This window comes from Homo sapiens, chromosome 14, assembly GCF_000001405.40.
Source record: "Homo sapiens chromosome 14, GRCh38.p14 Primary Assembly".
NCBI classification, from domain to species: Eukaryota; Metazoa; Chordata; class Mammalia; order Primates; family Hominidae; genus Homo; species Homo sapiens.
This window is the reverse complement of record NC_000014.9, coordinates 33,554,112-33,575,125: the sequence shown is the minus strand read 5'-3', so window position 1 is coordinate 33,575,125 and position 21,014 is coordinate 33,554,112. Positions and strand designations below refer to the sequence as shown.

Genomic DNA, 21,014 nt, shown 5'->3' with positions numbered 1-21,014 from the left:
ATTTCCTAGGATTTTTGTCTTGGGGCAGGACCTCCTAACGTGTTTGGTAGAAAAGAGTTAGAATTATTCTTGCCTTGACCTGAGACTGGCCTTTCCTGCTTTGAGCTTTCCTCCTGCCTGGCATTACTGATACTTCAGCATCCTTGTCCCTTGCACCACTGTGTGCATGGACCAAGGTTGACCAATCCTAGCAAAAGTCACTACATACTCTTGTTCTGGTTTCACCTTTACCAGGTGAGAGCCACCATGAGTTCAGAACTGGTCTCTCTCCTTTCCCCCTCCCACCTCCAAAGTCCATTCCCCCACTTCTCAGCAGAAGAGGAAGAGATAACCCTACTTATTTCTCAGGTTCATGCCTTTCATACCATCAAGCTTATTCTTCTGAGACCTGGGTTCAATGAGGATCCCTCTCTTGAGTCTTTAAATATATCTTTCTATACACCCCAGCTTCTCCACTTAAAGTTGCCTCAGCTTCAAAATGAGATCCATCAACACTTTCTCTCCCTCAAACTACTTTTCACCCTCCCCTTGGTCCCTCCATCCACCTCACCTCCTTTCTTTGCCACCAAACTGCTTGGAAGAGAGGCCAACATTTGTTGAATACATTTGGACCTCTGGCCCCGCAAGCCACTGCATTTTGGCCCCAGCCTTCATGGGCGCTAGCCAATGACAGTCAAATCACGGAAATCTTTCAACTGATGGGTCTGATGGCTTTTTATCTTGCCTTATAATATTTTAGCTTTCGGACACTTGACCACATCCTTTCTGAAAGGCTTTTTCTTTGCCTTTCCTAATGACAACTTCTCAGGGTTCCTCCTGAGGAGGATACCAGCCAGGTCACTTTCTGATCATTTGTGCTGTATCGTATATGCTGCCTTCTCTTCCTCTGCCTGTCAGTAAACTGAGATTTTCTGAGGCTTGCCTTCTCAGCAGCTTACACTCCCTCTTTCTGAAACTGCAGGTTGTTCTTGGTAATCTCATCTAATTCCTTTGGGTCCAGGTATAATTTATATGCTAACCACCTCCCAACCTGGAACTTTGAACCCAACCTCTCTTGAGCTCTGAAGTCTGTCCATTCAACAGATGTCCCACGAGCTTCTCAAATGCCACATGTGTAAATCCAAACTAAGTTTTAAAAATGTACTTCCTTCTTGCTTTCCACCACATTTGATTGGTCACCATGGCATTGATCTTACCGGAAAAAGGCTTCTCGAGTCCATCCCCTTCTTTTATTTCCACTGGTGTGCCCTAATGTAATTACCTTTCACCTCTTTTCTGGACTATTTATCAGTCTTTTAATTGGAGGGTGCTTTCTATCCTCCATTTCTTTTTAGCCAAAATTAATTTTTTTCCCTAAAGCACAAATCTAATATTGCACTTTTCCCTTTAAAATATTTTACAGCTCCCAAGGGTCTAAAGGAAAAATTCCAATTTCCTTAGCTTACTCTGACACCCTTTCCAAATTGGCCAAGTCCTAACTTTCCAGACTCATCTCTCCCATAAGAAATAGCTTTGCATACATGCCTCCCTTTGCCTGGAATGCTACCTTTCCGTTTCCTACAAGGAAAATGCCTTTCAAACCCTGACCAAAAGCGTTACTTTTTCTTCAGTAAATTCTTTGCAAACTTCTCCAGGTAGAGTTAGTCATCCACATTCTATCTTCATGATTTGTAGTGGATCTCTCTATTGTGACCATGACATTCAGTATTCACTAAAATACTTGAGACTTACTACTTGTAGGTCATCGTAGCTTGGTTGCCATGTCTAAGGCATCTTGCAGAAACCAGCTCCTGAAGGGCAGGAACTATGCCTTAGTGATCAATAGCCTCAGTTTCCAGCACAGTTTTTGCACACGTAGGTCATTCAGCAAATACTAGCTGAATGCTGGCATGCATGGTTAAAAGCGTGGTTGAGTGTCATGGGAAACCTGGGTTTGGACCTGTTTTATTGATTACTTGGCCCTACTATTGAATGTTGGAATATTTCTAAAAATGTTGAGTATCAGAATTTTCAGGTATATCTATATAACTTTACTGATGTTTTCACAAGTTCATTTACACCATTAGCATTGTGAGAATTAACTTTTTTTTTTTTTTTTTTTTTTGAGAAGAAGTCTCACTCTGTCTCCAGGCTGGAGTGCAGTGGCGTGATCTCGGCTCACTGCAACCTCCGCTTCCCGGGGTTAAGCGATTCTCCTGCCTCAGACTCCCGAGTAGCTGGGACTACAGGCACCCGCCACCACACCTGGCTAATTTTTGTATTTTTAGTAGAGACAGGGTTTCACCATGTTGGCCAGGCTGGTCTCGATCTCTTGACCTCATGATCCGCCCACCTCGGCCTCCCAAAGTGCAGGGATTACAGGTGTGTGCCACTGCGCCTGGCCAAGAATAACTATTTTATGGCTCTGAGCAGGATGCTTAATTGTACCATGTCTCAGTTTCTCTTAACACATAAAACGAATAATTTGACATGCCAGTTACGTAAACCGTCCAGAGGTAACTAGCGTTCCTGGTTAACAATGAGTGCTTTGGAGTCAAGTGGGCTGGGTTTAAACGCTAGTTCTGCCACTTCCTTGTTGTATGATCTTGGGCAAGCTATTTAACCTCTTTGCCTCAGTTTTCTTACCTAGAAAATGGAGACTGTCATTGTACCTAACAATCGTTAGGATTACAAACCTTAATGTATTTAAAGTACTTAGAACAGTGCCTGGCACAGAGTAATAGCTTAATAAATGTTAGTTAGGGCACTTGTTCTTCAAGTCACCTGCTTGGGCTTCTTCCAAGCGTCCTTTCCTTTCTTTCTTGTTCTAAAGCCTTTTAAATTTTTAAAAAAATGTAATTATTGTTAATTAGGAGGCTATAAATATGAAGAGATAAGGCTCACAGAATGATTGAAATACCTCACAGAAAAGGCACCAGGAATGCACAAGTCAATCATTAGAATAATAATACCTCTGAATTGTTTAGAATTTTATATATTTTCTGTGTATTTTCCACTTTTTAGACCCTCAGCCACCCTATGAAAGGTTTGGGAAATATAATAAATATGAATTGACTATGTGTAAGTGTCTAGAGTCAATAAAATCAGTATTTATTCTAGAAAATGAAATACCCTTGTGAAAAAGAAAGTCAGTCTGTCCTTTGCATTAGCCCACAATAAAAGGGTAGCGATGAGGTATCTGTGAGAACTCAAGTTATTGACATCACTGACCTATAAACATATCCCCTTCAGCATGATATACAGCACTTCAGTACCCTTGTTTTTGTATAATTGCTATTACCAAAAGCCTTTCAATTTCGAGTGCTCAAATGAGAGCAATTCATATTTCAGATAATCTGCCAACAAGGGAAACTAATTTCAAAATATTTGATCATAAAAGTTGTCCTCAGCTTCTACAGAGATAATTTAGTCAAATAATATCAGATAATCTGAAAGCAGTCTTAGCAGGCAATTGCTAGGGACGCCATCTAAGCAGCCTCCTTTTGCACTTATATAAATGTACTGAAAGTGTAGGAGACTTTGACAGCCTGCCATATGTGATTTCATTCCGTAGCCTACCTACTTTACCATCAAAAGTTATATCCTTTGAAGCATTGCCAGAATTACTTTACCCCAGTAGATATGCTAGATGTGCCCTTTAAAAGCCGTATCATTTCTTTTCTACTCTGACTAGTTCAGGGTAGCATCTGCTCAACTAAATTCCTTTGAAGGGTAAAAATAAAATAGCCTACTTCGCCAGGCTCCCCTCCTCGAGCCCTACCCCAGTGCTTACGAAAAAATGTCCAGCGTTGGATGAACTGCAGAGAGCACACATTTTAAAGAAGAAGGAGCCTGAGAAATTGCCCTTTCGTTTCACACTTAAGAAAAATGAAGATTCAAGCTGCTCCAAGGTCACTGGCCTGACTAGCAGCAGCGGCAAGACCAGAACCAGGTCTCCTGGATCCCAGTCCAGAGCCCTTTCTCCTGCTTTTCCAAAGACTCAATGTCTAACAGACAAAAGGATCCAGCCAGAAACTGACAATAGGAAACACCACCAACGGAGTGTCTTAATTTTATAAACAGAATATGAATGCTTGGATTTCATCTCCAGGAAACATTTGCTTTTTAGAAATACTCGTACTTGGCACTCTCTCTCCTCAGTACTGCTGACAGTTGCAGTCAGTTATTACACTGTTGTGACTTGGAAGCTGATGCCCCCAAACAGCTCAAAATTAGTAACATCATGATTCAGGATTGTCTGTTTTCCCTTCAGCTTGCTAATCTATGCTTCTTTTATAATTATTTTAAAAGGCACTATCTGATTTCCTGAGCACCGCCCCAGGTGTTCTAAGTGATAATGAAAGGATAAACATATCATCCAGTGTCACAGAGCAGTTGTGACATTTTAGAAATATCTTCAGTTCAACTCTTCTAATTTCCATGTATGCTACAGCCAAGGTTGCAGGCCCGTGTTTTTACTAAAGAGCTGAATGAGTCCCAGTAATTGCATGATTTACTTGTCTGCTCAAGTGAAAAGGTTTTGAAATGTAGTGGAATGGCACGGTCCTTTCTTGGTCTTTGCAAACCCGGCAACGTCAACTTTAATTAATGAGCCGGAAAAATTATGGGTTTTTTTATTATTATTTCAGGGAATTGGTTCCTAGTCTCACCTCTTATTTTCCTTGAATTTGCATCTTCTGTCCTCAGGGATGTGTAGACTTTTCTAATTCACACAGTTATGTAGACAGGACATCACAAGCATGCAAAACTGCTGCTGTACAGCACTCTGAAGTGACCCTGGACAACTAGACTGAACAGTCGGATCATGTTTTCCTCTTCCAGATGACCAAGTTGCAAGCAACATTCCCATTGCACTTGGCAACCAAGGCTAAGGAGATCTGTGCTTACTAGGAGCGATCTTAAAAAGTTGTCTGCCAAAAGAATCTCATTTTCCATCCTCATTTCTGATTGATCTTAAAATGGAATGCCTCTGAATACTTTAATTTTTGTGCCTCTCTCTCTTTCCTTCACTCCCTTTTGATTTTGTAGATTAGATAACAATCTCTGTATAGACATTTAAAGCCCAAAAAAGGAACTCACCACTTAAAGGAACACAAATACCCCATCTGTATTGTAATACAAATAATCTCTTACTTAGTCATCTGGCAGGTTTTTAGCCTTAACATTTCTTAAAGCAAGGCGAGCCTGTACATTTTATGGTAAAGAGCCAGATCTTTACCATAGATAGAGCTAGCACTATCATTCACATTTTCTGGAAATATTTCTGCGTCTCCCCTGTTTATAAGGACAAGAACGTTTAGTACAAACGTTTTTTAAGTTCCTAAGAAATACCAAGTTTAACAATTAGGGACTTTAGCCAGAAAGAAGTATCGAAGAAAGTAGAGTAGGAACAAATATGTGAAGGTCAAGGCTATAGAATAAAACTCAGAGGTTCAGGAAACCATCCTCTATCTGCATGTTCCTTAAAGCCTTAGCGCGTTCCTAGTGAAGAACCAATTTTTTTTTTTGTTTCCATGGCAAAGCAGTGCTAAACAGGATTACCTGGGGTCCTAAAACAATGTTTCTATTGGCGAGAGAAGGCCAAGAGGGAAGGGGTTTCTTAATATAAAGCTTGCTTCTCCAAAACCTAGATGAAAATCTAAACAGCATCTGTAATTCTTTACCTGATACCCAGATGCATATTACTGACATACTTCCTAGGTTCACCAAAACCCACACATGGCCCACAGGTATCTGTGTTACCTCTGCCAAGGGCCTTGAACTGCCTTGAAAACATCCAATCTAGGCCATATTTTTTCCTTCCCAGGGAAAATTTCTTTCTGCATACATTCTCTTGCTCTCAAAAAGTTTGCATAGTTATTGAAAGTAATAGATTTAATCTGCCAGCACATTAAAAATTAACAGCATCAGAGAAAGTTTTTGTCTTATTATTGAATGTGGTGAATTTGCAGCTGTAGGAGCCTGAAAGGAGGAGACGCCCAGAGGAAAACCTGGTGTGCTGCTTTAGTGAGTCATTTTGGAAATTATTTATATCTGTAGATAAAAATGCAGTAGGCACGAAAGCCATATCAGAAAGAAACAAATTGTATGCATTTATAAACATATATAGGCATGTGAATAAACACATATTCACACAAAAATGCATCAAAAGATACTTTAAATAATTCAACTGCTATCAGTCTCTTTAACAATGATGATTTTAAGAAAAAGAGATTATATCTTTGGACTGTCATTCCAAAGAAGGGAGTGAGGATGAAAGATAAAAAGCCATAGGGCATTTGTTGTCTAAAACTGACATCAATTTTCAGGTTACCAGCCTAGTTCTAGAACTTATGCAAAAATCTAAAGTCAATTTCCTTATTACAGTCCTACTGAAATTATCACTGAAATTGTTGCCATGTTACTTCTGTCATGAAACCTTATCTTCTTATGTAAGAGCTAAAACCCAATATAGATTGAATGTGTGTGTATAGAAATGAAATTTGGATTTCACATGAATTTAATGATTTTAGACCTCCTTCCCAGAAGGTCAAGTTATTTCTTTTTCTTCATATGAGCAGTTTGCATTCACTCATCATTCTTATAGGGTCCAAGCTAACTGAGAAAGGATAGCTGGCTTTAGTGTAGAGGTATTATTTTGCATATATTGCCCATATAAGCACCGCATTATGGACAGAAATTATCTTTACTTTCTAACTTTGCATAATAAAATAAGCCATTAAATTAATACCATATAGAAAATACTGCTTGTCAGGCAAAGAAATGCATATTGCTTTCCAGAAAACCAGGGACATTATATTGCCAACGCCTGCATGAATAATACATGGGTTAATTCAGAAAAACACCGTTTCATTATTTAAATATGAATAAATTACAGACTTAGAATGATGACTAAATTTTCTTAATCTTACTTTTGCTCAGTGCTCTACTTCAAAATGAATCTGAAAATACTGTTTAATCCACACAAATAAAATGAACTAGCTCCTTACAAAGTATTTTTTTTCTGACTTTAGATCTCTTCAACTATAAAATGAAGAATACTCCATCTTCCTTTTTTTGTCTTGCTCACTTTAAGTCCAGAAATTAAGAAGCAATGTAGGTTTTCGATTCATACATTTGAAAATGGTAAGCTTATCTTGAATTATCCTGAGATTCTATGATTCAGTCTAACAAGAACAGCTCGCTGTGCACAAACTTCCTGTGTTTTAGCCTCACTGTCTGGAAAAATATGTTCAAAGGAACAAATAAGAATAACATGATTCTCACGTATGATGACGCACATTTCTTTCATTCTCTTTCACAGATAGTGGTCTACTCTGAAGACCTGTTAAAAATCAGTCCCATTTGGGCACTGATGAAAGCATGAGGAGAGAAAGAAATGCACCTGTAATAAGAAATTAATTTGGAGTTAAAATAAGTAAAACATCCCCACGCAGTGCATTCAGGCTAAGCATAGAGTGACAGCCAGCAGATTATTCTACCGATTTCTAATGCTGGAAATTCGGATGGCATTTACTAGCATAACCTTTCAACTCTGAGCACATCAATAGAGGCCGACAGTGGCTTGAAATATGATTCCTTGCAGATAGCATATCCTCATTCATCTGACTGTGCTGCTCTGTGCTCCATTGCACAAACAGCGTCTCACCCACTTCTGAGAGGACACTAATAAAAAAGGCATCAATTTTCAGCTCTAGTACTACTGTGATCTCTTTATATGTTCGACATCCAACATTAAATTAAAATGCTGTTATAAATCCTACTTTCTGAATCTGGAATGAGTGTTGGGTTTTTGTCGCATGAGACTGCAGCAAATCTTGTCAAAAGCAAGGAAGCACGTCTTGTTCACTCAGAATTAATGTTGTGGATGAAAGAAGGAGGTAAAAGGGGTTGAATATGGTGAACTGAGGGTGTCAGAGGCAGTGGGGACTGAAGCTTCAGGGTGCCACACCAGGCAGGGTATTTGCTGCTTTCAAGAAGTGGCTAATCAAGAATTGTAATTATCAACGACAAGCTGTGTGGCAGGAAGATTACTGATCAACAGACATACACATCCACACATCCATACATATCAACAGAAAAATTCTAGGCGTAAAAAAATTGTCGATTATTACCCTGTGGAAGAAAAATACTTTCCAAACACCAACGGTCCTGAAGAAGCCCTGTGGATTCTATCAAATCTCTGCAAAGAGGCTGCCACTGGGATTCAAAGCCAAATAGCACAGGTGACATGTTTTCTGGGCCTTATGTCATTGTTACATAATTTTAAGGTTATAAGAGAAATACCTTAAATCACTGGATTGCAAGAGAATAATATTGTTAGATACTGACATGTATGACTTAAGACAGTTTCAGAAGGGTTCTATGTAAAGATGACAGGGGAGGGAGGAAAATAAAACACCCTGCAACTACAGAGAAGAAAGAAACTGGTAAGGTTTTTCCACTCTGCTCAAGGTGGCGATGCATTATAGGAGAACATTAGGGATTTTTTCTACTCTTTCTGATGAAAAGATCCCTGCCAATATAGATGATCACCTAAGAACTATGAACTAAAAGGCATTAGGAGCTTCAACAAAGATACAGAGCACAGAGCTGTATTCTTCTGCCTGGCTCGTTCATAATTATGGATGAAATAAAGAGGCGTGTTTGCCTATTTGGAAGGGTGGGGTGGAAGGAAAAGGGGGGAAGAACGAGCAGTTCAATATCTGGATCGAACAGAGGAACTTTTTCCCCCAAGGATCCTGCCGGGAGGAACCTTGACATGCACAAAGTCAGAACGTAGACAAAGTTGCCCTGGTGAGAACGATAAGGTCACCCGTGGGATTGCTGAGATTATCTCTGTCAAGCACTCGGACAGCATGCAGTCAAATGATGCATCATGCAGTCATTTTCGGGGGGGAAAAATCAATTTCTTCACCAGGTCGCTATTTGCTTTTCAAAGTGCCCTTGTAGGCCTTCACCACCAAGCATTTATCAATTTAAATGTTGTAAATTGATAATGTGCCACTGTGCCTTGTACTGTTTCTGAATTATTTTGATACTTATATTTTCTCAATAGTCTCCAAACCCTCAGAGCTTCCACATTCAAAAGGGCATTTTTCTTTGTTACACCCAGAAGTGATGAACTTTTCATGATTAGTGTACAGGAGACAAATGTAGACTTGCTGGTTGGGGTGGCAGGGGGGTGGTCACAAGCTGCAGAAAATTATATATTTTTCTGCTTTTTTTTAAAAAAATTAAGGTATGTCTACTTGAAACGTTTTGAAAAGGGGGGCCATAAAGCAGTATTTGCATTCATTTATTAAAAGAACTCCAGTTATCCTAGCATTGAATACATTTAGAACACCAACTGCAAAAATGCTAACACTTGGCTCCATCATTGTAATCCCTCTGCTGTGTTGAAATAATACCTTTTTTGTCTTTATATTCCAGCTCTTTAGGATGTCATGATGCCAAACAAGAATAATAACTTACAAGGAAAGCTAATGTCTTCTTTTTTTTTTCAACCCCACTAAAGAAATATATATATCTTCTACAAGCAGGGAAGTAAGAGTATTAGCCACATACTAACCTCAACTTGATTTGCATTGAAAAACACAGAATGGAAGAGTGAGCCTTGCACTTTGGAAAAGCAAAAGAAAGACATGGCGGTTGCAAAGCATCTTTAACCTCCAGTGATTTATTGGCCCTCGGCCAAGTTATCAGGGGAATCTAATTCTTCTTTATTATTCAAATAAACCACATTTGGCACCATGGTTCCCTTTCAGAATAGCTTCACAAATAGACTGAGCTCTGTCATTTATTTGACCTTGTACTTGTGTGCTGTAGCTGTAATTTTATTTGCCATTTTATATAACAAATGCAGAGAAATCTAAAATATGGAGATGAACAACAGGATAAGGAAAGGAGTTTATGGCAAATATATCTGCATGGCTTAAAAAAAATACCAAATTTAAAACAACCACTTACCCCCTTTCACCTTCACCTCTATTAACTCTTATTATAATCTGCAGCCACCCTGCCCTTTTCAGCAAGCTGCCTTGAATCAAGCCAATTTGTAACCTTGTCTGCAGCTACCTTCTGGCTGGCTTACAATAGTCAGGAAATACCTTATATAAGGGTGAGGACTTGGTGAGAAAAAGGGAAGTGACTCATTATGTGCAGGAGGGGACTGGAGGCAGTGGGGGGTGATTAGAACACATTTCAAGAGAGGTTTTAGCTGGCACGTAGGGTATTTTCTAATGGTATCACCCCATACAAATGTGTAAATTTCCTGGCTTGCTCTAGATCTCATTTTTGTTGTAAACAGGACCCTATATTAACTTGAATGCACTTTGCTGGGATAGGTGTGCATCAGAATTATCCTGTCTCACCTCACTTTCCAGAAAAAATGTTTTCAGAGGATGTGAGTCCAATTGTATTCTCTGGTTAACTGAGTCTCTCATGTCCTCTGCCTCTGGCAACGATAATGTGAATTTCTCATGAGGGCTTAGAAGAAAATGCAGGATGTGAGTATGGGTGAAGGAAAGCCAGTTTGAAACCCTGTAAACCACCAAACTAGCCAATGCTATTGTGAGGCCTGGATGCGGGAACAGAACATCGCTCTCCGATGGTCTTCCGCACAGCTATGGCTGGCGGGGAATGGGCTTCTGCCTGCTTATGAGATTTGTAATTTGGGTCTTTGTGTTTGCTGTGTAGATCACGACAGCCTTGCTGTGAATATGGACTCCAGTGGAAGCAAATCAATGTCATAATCTACAGGTTAGCTCTTCCAAAATCCTACGTGAGATTTTCAGATTTCAGTCCCAGAAAAACTTTGCCTTCCTTAAGAAACAATGGTTTTTCATTTTTGATGGTTTACTGGATTTCCCTTTTTGCTTTGGTTACCATGAAGCTCATGGTTACATCTGAAACTTTAATAAAGACCATTTATAATAAATGGTCTTTTTATGAGCCTCTTTGTTGTGTTTTCCTACTATGTGGTAACAGTTTACCTACTTTTGCTTATCTCCTTTTCCTTATTCCCTAGTTCTATTTTGACATTATTTTTATCATATGTGTTTATGTAAGCTATTTGAAATCCTTTGTGGAAAGAGGAGAGTATAAGCCAACAAATAAATATTTCTCTAAGCTTTAAATCCTGTATCAACTAGAAATACTTTTTATTTATCATGTAAAGTCTCTTTTGGATTCTTTGGCGATTAAGCCCCTTACATTTTGGAAGAGATTTCATAAACGCTGGCTATATATCATTGCTACATTTTCAGTGTTAGGGAACCCATTCTGTTTTCTTAATTCATTTTCACTTCTGCCTGTTCCATTATAGCTAGAAAGCAGAGCTGTCATGAACAGCTCTGAATGCCATCATCAGGTATAACAAGTTATTCAGTCTCTATGCAAGCCAAACTCAGCATCAGTATGTGGGAATCTTCCTTTAAGATAAGGCCTCTTGGTGAGTAACTGGGCATCATTTTTACACAGGAAAGCAAGTCAACAGTGCATACTTCTATAACCTGAAACCAGTTCTTGGATGTTGTTAGGTTAAATATATACATCTCTCCTCTCTCTCTCTCTCTCTCTCTCTCTCTGTGTGTGTGTGTGTGTGTGTATGTATGTGTATCTGGCAAAGTCAAGAGGACTGTTGAGGAGCTTCAGAAATCATCATCATTCACTCATTCCCATAATTACAACAAGATGAGAATACTTTAAAGAGAATACCTGGCATGCACATGCCCTGGACACCAGGAGCTGTCCCACCCAAGGGAGAGTCAAAGAGAAAATCCGCTCTGGCTGTCTCTATCCCCATGCTACACAACAGAGCTCAGTAGAAGTTTCCCTATCTTGTTTTCTTGTGAGCCAAAAAAGAATCCTAATTCTATCCTGAGCATAAGCTGTTTTAAAGCCACCACATTTATGTACACATTGAAAGAAAATAAAACTGAGGAAGGGATATCTTGAGAGTTAGCAATACAGACATAGCTATGCTCTGTAACAAACTGACATGCTCACAGTCCTCCTGAACAATTTCACTGGACAAGTCTTTGATGACAGAGTTACACATTGTCTTTATTTAACAAAACTATTTGGAAAGGAAAGGAGGGTCCATAACTTTACAGATTCCTTATCACTGTCTAGAATTTGATAGAATAACCACTTAGCCAAAGTTGTAGCATACAAGCAGAGCATTTGGTTTGCATTTGATTAAGGGTGTGTGTGTGTGTGTGTGCTCATAAAAGAACAAATGCTTAATTTACTTAGAGTATATTTACTTTGTATATCACCCCACAACCCCTAAAACTGAAAAAGGGCATTGATGAAACTTGGAAAGAGTTGTATCTTGGGGACCTCTATTTCTCTATTAGGACTCAAACTGGGTTGAAAACTCTTTTCCAGAGTTTTAGCATAGATTTTTTGTTTTTCCCTCATGCTTTGGGCTTTTAAAAATATATCATGTTCTTATCAGATTCTTTTCATATTAATGCAGAACTATACTTAAGCTTTAGTTTTGAACTCTAAATACATAAACTGGTATACGCAAAAATCACTTTTAAATACATAAATTGGTATATGCAAAAATCACTTTCTACTGATTGACCCCTCATCAATTCAGTTGTATAGTGCTGCCAAATGAAGGCCCATGTCTCCTATCTCATAGCCTCTACCTGCATATTTGACAGTTTCTGCCAACACTGAACACATCCACCACAGGAGAAGAAGGCAATGGCACATTTTGGCCAGGGTCTGCCCCTGGATAAGTCAAGATGCCGACTACTGGTACGTGCTTTAAAACCCATTATATATAAAAGCAAGGACTGACTGCACAAAAATTGCCAGATACTGTACCATGTCTACACAGTTGCTTTATTTCACAGAAGCGTCAATTATTTGTCTCAGATTTTACTTAATGATACAGTAGAAAAGCAGCTAAATAAAATACTTTTAAGGAGAAACCAGCATAGGGTTAAAGCCAAATTTTTCTTGAACAGATGATATTTCAGATGGCCGCACTATTCCAGATGCATCAATTTCCTTGAAAATCCGATCCATATATGTGCATATGCTGTGCTGGCAGGAGGACTGACTGAAATGGCCAAAACCCAAGAGCTAATATTCTTTTGGCCAGAATAATGCAATTATTATTTTCCTAGCTATCAGTCTAAGCATACAGAGCCATCTGTTATGCAAAGCAAACATACACATCTCAATTACAGAAAATGCAGTTGCCTTGACAGAATTTGGATTACACCACTAAGCAGGGCTGTAAAATGTGTTTTGAGCTAGTATATAATGGATGCTTTTCAGGAGTTCCCTAATTAGCATTTACCTGCTTAAACTAATTATTCACCCTTCTTCTTTACTGGCTTATTAAACTTTGCTGGATACCCTGCATGAAACATGAATATGTGCATTGCAGAACAACAAACAGTGGTGTTTCCAGTTCTGTATGGTAATAACAACATCGCGACATGGTGGCTCACCGATTTCAAAATTGAAGATTCTCAATACTAGGTCCCAGACAGATTAAGACAAGGCTTAAAGTCTGTTAAAGGCTATTACAAAACCAGATCTTTCAATAAGATACAAGAATAGTAATACCGAGTTAACAAAAGCTCGGTTTCTATCATTTGGTTTGCTAAAGTCCACATAAAATAGAATTACTCCACACACTATAGCTGAGAGCTTGCATGTTCTTCAAAAGGCATTAACAGACCAGACCCTTGTTTGGATTCTCAACAGTAAATAATCAAATTTGGCAGTGTTTCTCCTCCTTCCCCAAGCCTCCTTACATGCCAAATCTCTCTCTCTATTATTTTCCAATGTCTTTCTTGATTTAGCTATTACCCAGCAAACTCACTCACAGCCAAAAGAGTCCAGCCTTGCTGGATGTCTCCTTAGAGCTGTGCCAACTTTCAGAAGCAACGAGTCTGGGGTAGGTCCTGCTTTAAAGGAGAGAGACAAATCTTATCTCTATCTCTAGCTTCAAGGGGCAACTGAACGAGCGGTAGATTATCCAACTTGGCAGATTATCACACACACACAAAATCCCTCCCACTGAGGCAGTGTTTTCCTCATGCCAAACTACCAGATGAAAGGGGTCAAACTCAGCCAATCACCTGTATGGGCGCAAATACCCAGATGTTCAGCATTTTTATGGAGAAAACATCTGGATAATTAGCTGAAGTGCAAACCTTGCTTCAGGATATTTTGGCATTCACCAGATGCAGCCCGTGTCTTGGCATTCACTGGAACTTAAATTTTTGTGTTCCAGGGGAATATCGAGAAGTAACATCCAGGATTTTTGTCCCTGGCCCATCAGCCTCCATTTTCTTTTCTTTTCCCCTCCGAAAAACACATGTGAGTAATTAAATGGCAAATAATGAAAAGCTGTCTTATTTTATGAAATCATCTTTCAGCATTAGGAAGCATTTGCAAAGGCAGCAAAATATATCCTTGCTGGAACCCTCCCTGCAACGCATTTTAATGGTCTCTTTCGGCATTTCTTGACTCCAAATGACTCCTGCCATTGTGTCAGCTCCCAGGATAATGCAGGGTACTCCATAAACATCCAGTAATAGGACACAAGGGAAGCACTATTAGTGTGTCCCTCTCCTACTGGGCACAGAGGTTTCAAAGTTCAAAACAACCAAGGGAAGAAACTTCATTTGTTCTCGATAAATTAATAATGATCCTTGGGGGGTGGGGAGCGGAACTAAAGTTTTTGAGCACAAGTTTATTCTGAATGTTCAACACTGACACACAGGTTTCTCACTGACTTTGAGAGAACAGTCAGGTAAAGCCATTAAATAATACATTTGATAATTCATGCTAAACAGAATATTCCTTGAAGAAGGAAAAACATGAGGCTGAAGAAGGCTTCATAATCGCTGCCAAGAATCTAAAATTGTTTTACTTACTTGTGAGAGGCCTAGGTAGATGGAGACTGTTTCGGAAATGTACAAAAATTTTCCTTCCTGATTTAGTGCAAATACAAAGCCATCCAGGGACTGCAGGAAAAAGAATAAATATATAAATAGATTAATAAATACAAAGGATGCAGATTTAATTAGTAAGGCAACTGAGAAAAAGCAATACATTGAATTTTTTTTTTTTTTTTTGAGACAGAGTCTTGCTCTGTCTCCCAGGCTAGAGTGCAGTGGCACAATCTCGGCTCACTGCAACCTCTACCTCCTGGGTTCTCCTGCCTTAGCCTCCCGAGTAGCTGGGACTACAGGCATGTGCCACCATGCCCAGCTAATTTTTGTATTTTTAGTAGAGACAGGGTTTCAGCATGTTGGCCAGGCTGGTCTCGAACTCCTGACCTCAGGTGATCCACCTGCCTCAGCCTCCCAAAGTGCTGGGATTACAGGCGTAAGCCACCGCGCCCGGCCACGCTGAATTTAAGACCGTCTTTTCTCCATGTTTAACGAAAGTCCTAAGATCTTTTAATATTGCATTATACATGAACAAATTAAATGTCTGAATTAAGACTGAAAGCTTTCTTTTACTTTAGGGACTTATGTCTCTGTCATTTTGATCAAGATACATTACATTCATGTACAAAATAAGGTCATGCTGATTTTATGAGCTGTTGCCTTTATTTTTTTTGGATTCAGTGGTTACTGAGATTAAATCAGCAAGATTCTCCATTAAATAGTTGAACAGGAATAAAGATCGTAATGAAATGAAAGAAAAAAAGGCTTCCTATATCAAGAGCAAGTAAAATCACTACTTGCACTACTATGAACATCAACAATTTGCTAATTAATAAGGAATTATGCCTTCTTTACTCCCAGTGCCCATTGTGTTAGAACAACAGGAAATGTCAATACATTAAGGGATAATGTTTATGGGCTGCAATCTTACAAACTGTAATCCTGTTTTGCAAAACTCTCTGTTAAAGTTTTATAGTGACAGTTTTAGTTTCTATCACCACTCCTGAAATGGAACAAAAGAAGAAAGAAAGAAAGAATAAAGAAAGAAAAAGGATGCTACACATCATCTGTAACTCCTAAAACCTCAGTCCACTTTCCAAATGGAGGGTTGCATTTTCAGTTTGATGAATGGTGTAAATCATCATGAACTCCAACTGCAATACAGCATTCAAACTGAGAATAAATTTGTTTCACATTCTTGCAATCCAGTGCATCCTACACCCTCTGTCATCCGCATGTCTTTTGTTTTGCTTTATAGTTATTTTTAACAAGGTAAGTTGCACAAATGCTGCTTGTACAGGAAAAAAAGTTTTTAAATGTGAGTGGTGTTAAAAAAAAAAAAAAGGCCGTGAATTTGCAAATACAGGAAACCCGCGCTAGGAGCAAGGTGTATGAAAACACTAAATTAATGACAAAATTTGTAAAATATAGAAAGGTGGAAGAAGCGTGTAAATTTAGTTAGAAATATGTGCCTTCTCAAATCCTAGCAATAATTTCAGTCTCCTAAAATACTGAATTTTGGGGGAATGTATATTATATATATTCTTATATATATATGTGTATATATATGTATGCATACAGATGCACACACATATATTATATGTATGTACGTATATATAAAATTTTGATTTTCTGCCAGATACAGTGGCTCATGCCTGTAATCCTAGCACTTTGGGAAGCCAAGGTTGGCAGATCACTTGAGACCAGGAGTTCAAGACCAGCATGGCCAACATGGTGGAAACCCCATCTCTACTAAAAATACAAAAATTAGCTGGGTGTGGTGGCACACCTGTAATCCCAGATACTTGGGAGGATGAGGCACAAGAATCACTTGAGCCCGGGAGGAGGAGGTTGCAGTAAGCCAAGATCACGCCACTGTACTCCAGCCTGGACAACAGAGCAAGACTCTGTCTCAAAAAAAAAAAAGTGAATTTTCCTGTTTCCTGACCTGTTTTCACTGCCCCACTGGTCAGAAACTGTGGATGACACCCAATCCCCTCCTCTGATTTCTTGGGTTCTGAAAACAATTCAAAAGTCACATTATATTGTTCCACTAAAGAGCAGATTACATGATAGATGAGCTTTTAGCTACAATAATACAATAATGCCAACTTACATTTATTAAGCATTCTGTGCTAAGCAGTTTGCACATATTGTCTCTTTTAATTTTCACAAGTACTATATGAAATTATAGTATTATTATCTACATTTTTTTTATTTTTTTGAGACGGAGTCTTGCTCTGTCACCCAGGCTGGAGTGCGGTAGCGAGACCGCAGCTCACTGCAAGCTCCGCCTCCCGGGTTCACACCATTCTCCTGCCTCAGCCTCCCAAGTAGCTGGGACTACGGGCACCCGCCACCACGCCTGGCTAATTTTTTGTATTTTTAGTAGAGACGGGGTTTCACCGTGTTAGCCAGGATGGCCTTGATCTCCTGACCTCGTGATCTGCCCGCCTCGGCCTCCCAAAGTGCTGGGATTACAGGCGTGAGCCACTGCGCCCAGCTGTTATTATCTACATTTTATATACAAGGAAATTGAGGATTAGTGAAGTTAGGCAACAAGCCTATTCCTAGTTTGGAGTTTAGATTTGAACTTTGGCAGTGGGACTTAATAACTAACTATACTGCCTTACAATAAAAATAAAGATTCTCTAATTGACATGTGTAAATTAATGAAAAGGCGAATATTCACAGCATTTCTGAAATTAAAATATTTACCCTAAGAGGCAGCCTGTACATCTTAAACATCACCCCTTGCTTTTGAACAATTTGTGTTCAAACAATAGAATCCTTTCATTGTGGGTAGAAGACAGAGGGGAAGTAGGATGGCAAGAGATTACTTAAGTTACTTCCACAGGAGGTTACCTGGCCACCTTTGCTGCGAAATATTTCCCATGGAACCAGCTTTTGGGAATAAAATACTGTCTAAGGGAACTGGGCTCCTTACCTTTGACAAAACTGCCAAACCCTCTGCAGTCTTTTCTGATAGAGCCTTTCAAGCGCAGGGATGTAGTATAGCGGAACCTCACTTTGAAGCAGTGCAAGGGGAGAGATATTTCCTTCCTACAAGTTTGGGAAGGATCTAATTTCAACATATCTTTACCTCAAACAAGATGTCTCCTGAGGATGACTCATGAAAATTAGGACCCTCCCCTTTGTGACTATTCCCTTGAATCTTATAAAAGGGCTTATTAGATTTTCCATTCGACCTGATAGCCATGGCTTGGTACACAATCACGGAGAACTGTGTAAGTCATCTTCTCAAATTTTAATATGTCATTGTCAATTAGAGCAACAACACAAAGAAAGATCACAGGAGAACTTCCAAGGACACAAGGGACAGTTGGAAGCCTGGTTGGGTGCAGAAGGATGGACTGATGAAGCTGGTGTGGGGATAATCTCCTATAGTTCTAAACCTTCATTTTACAGAGGAGGAAACTGAGGCACAGAGAGGCTAAGTGGCCAGACAAGATCAGATGGCCAGTCAGTGGCAGAGCCAGGATTAAATCTTCTTCACTCCCATACAATTATTAAAGCATTTATGGCATTGTATGCCTCTGGTTGGCTTATTCAGCTCTCAACTAGAGAATTTCTGAATCACTGAATTTCTCAACAGTGAGGCAATGCCTTATTTATCTTTCTCTAGCTGGCATCTAACAACCACTCAATCAAGATTTATGAAATCCAGTTCTACCTCCATGCTCAGTGCTCCCTTTTCCTTATATCACAAATACCATAATGACTAGTAAGGATGGAAATTATTTTCTTGAGGAGTCCAGCTTATGGACTTAGATTATTTACAGATTCAGATTCCACAGATTTCCACTATGGTCTGGGATACCTCCTGATATTCAGAATAGAATGGATTCTTTTCTGTCCTTCAAAGTACCCAGTGCTATTTCTGAATAGATGTGTCATTTGCTGTCTACGCATATCCTTTACTTCCTCACTAAAGGGGATTGTGATTTTTAACATGAGGTTCAGATTTCATGTACTTACTAAAATATTTGAGGAGGTTTGGGCACCATAGCAGGGTAAAAGAATATCTGGAGGCTAAACATCTGATGCTATTAAGCAGTAGCGATCTAAGAACTGGCCAGTTTTTTTTGGCAAAAACAGAGGCTTCAACACATGTTCCAATTTCCTGGTGAGATTAAAATGAGTCTACGTCTACATGACACAAAGACATCCAGTCAATTCAATGAAAAATAACGGCCAATTTGGTAGGGGGGAAAACAACTAGTTAAATTAGTTGTTAGTCATCACAGAAGTGAAACACACACACACACACACACAGACACACCAACAACAATTGGTTAATTTACCATATTTTTCACTTTTATGCTTATCATTTTAGTCAATTATACCTATAGTCTCAGATCAATGTCCGTATCTCAGATTTGATTACCTTTCAAATAAAAAATGGGATATGAAGTCAGGTCTAAAGTGGATTGCCAAGGTCACTTTTCTCATAGCCACTACCTTCTGATTCAGGATTGTCTCTGCTATAAGGTAGCTGCATGTTGCCACTTAGAAAAGTTTGAAGGGTAGCATCATTGTTGGTTTAATTTGGGTGTTATCAACTTAAAAAGGTGGGAGGAGGAAGAAAACATTCAGTCAGTTAGTCTTGGAAACCAAGTGTGATTAATCTCAAAGTTCTGTGGAATTTTTTTTAAATTTTGAATCAAGAAAGCTATTATATACTATGCAGTTCAATCACTGCAGGCTACTTTTTAATTTTTTTTCAACTGCCCACTGTTTTCAACAGGCGCCAATTAAGATTCTGGGGTCAAAGGGTTAATTACATCTTCTTACTCACTATGTAGAATTTTCTGATTATTAACTAAGGTTGGATTAAGATGAAAAAGAACCTACACAAATGTTAATGCTAGTCCCTCCTCAAGAAGATTTATTATAAAGCCATGCTGAAATCTATCTGCTTTCCTCAAAGCAGATGGGAAACGCAATCTTAGAAGAAACAGTAAAACAGACATTTTAAAGACATGCAAGTATCTGATTTATCAAGACAGTTTTCTTATTACTGAAAACAGTTCTTAGCCATCCAGACAGGGCTGATCGGAGATTTCCTTTGTCACATCCCAGTAAGTCTATGAGGTACACATGCAAGAAGTGAGGCTTGGATACAGAAGTCAGGAGTTACAGCATCTCTGAATAATAAAGCCTGTAATTATAATTTATATCCCCTGACATTAGTGTAACATATAAAGTGTAAGGCATAGTTTCTTAACCCCAAAAGCTGAATGCTTCTAACAGTACTTGTCAAATGATGAGGTTACTTCCTTGCAGGGTGTGGAACTAACCACAGGTCCATGACTGAAGGTATACTAATGTTTAATGCATTGTGCTAAATGGATTTATATTTGTCAAAGGAGTTTTGCCTCTGCTTTCCTTTTTGTGCATATTCCTCTGCAGCCAAATTTCACAGAGTGACATCTTACCATGGTGCTCCTTTAGGGACAAGTTTTGAGTATGTAAGCACTCTGAAATTAGTAGTTCTTTCTTTGACATTCCAGTACAGAAGGGGGAAAAATCACCCCCAAACTCTTTTCCTGTGACTTAACTCCAGTTAGAGAGAAGAATTACCAGTAGGCTAGGTTATTTTAATGACAGATTATTTTAAACTAAGCCTTCACCATCTGTTCCACCCCCTAATTATGAATGCAAAAAGAACATATTTCACAATTACATCAGTAAAAAAGTAAGATATACATGATTTAAATGCATGCATGTGCTCCTTGTCCAATGTGCCATGCATCTGTGATGTTCTTCCAATTCAGGCTCAGACTGCAGAGAAAATGCCCATACGTGATAGAGTATAATCTCTGACATACTCAACTTTCCCTTCAAACCCAGAGTTCTTCACTGTTGTGACATAACTCCGTTAGGACAACGGCAGAGCCTGAATTCGGGCACTATGCATATCAGACATTAGAAGTGAGCATTTAATAGCTGCTAAGACAGCTTTGCTGTTAATAAGGAGAGGCTCTGTGAGAAAACTGCCTCCATTCCGTAAGCAATGGGTTAGCCTTGGGAAGAAGTGGGTCTGCCCTTGAGCCATAT

The 21,014-nt window shown here is 39.1% G+C and overlaps 1 protein-coding gene across 19 annotated transcripts in view, besides 1 other annotated feature; it reads right to left on the bottom strand.

Moving 5' to 3' along the window:
- Positions 1–21,014, bottom strand: part of NPAS3 (neuronal PAS domain protein 3) — an 869,389-nt gene that overhangs the window by 229,048 nt on the left and 619,327 nt on the right. For all 19 annotated transcript variants that reach the window (XM_017021582.2, XM_017021583.2, XM_047431678.1 and 16 more), the window contains one exon: positions 14,916–15,005. In XM_017021582.2, coding sequence (XP_016877071.1) covers positions 14,916–15,005 — 90 coding nt within the window. The remainder of the gene's footprint in view (positions 1–14,915; positions 15,006–21,014) is intronic.
- Positions 10,061–10,590: an enhancer, noted in NCBI's record as "H3K27ac hESC enhancer chr14:34033742-34034271 (GRCh37/hg19 assembly coordinates)". NCBI's record gives its function as "activates a minimal SCP1, AML or CMV promoter by ChIP-STARR-seq in naive H9 embryonic stem cells {active_cell/tissue: H9 hESC(naive)}" and the evidence as "EXISTENCE:reporter gene assay evidence [ECO:0000049][PMID:30033119]".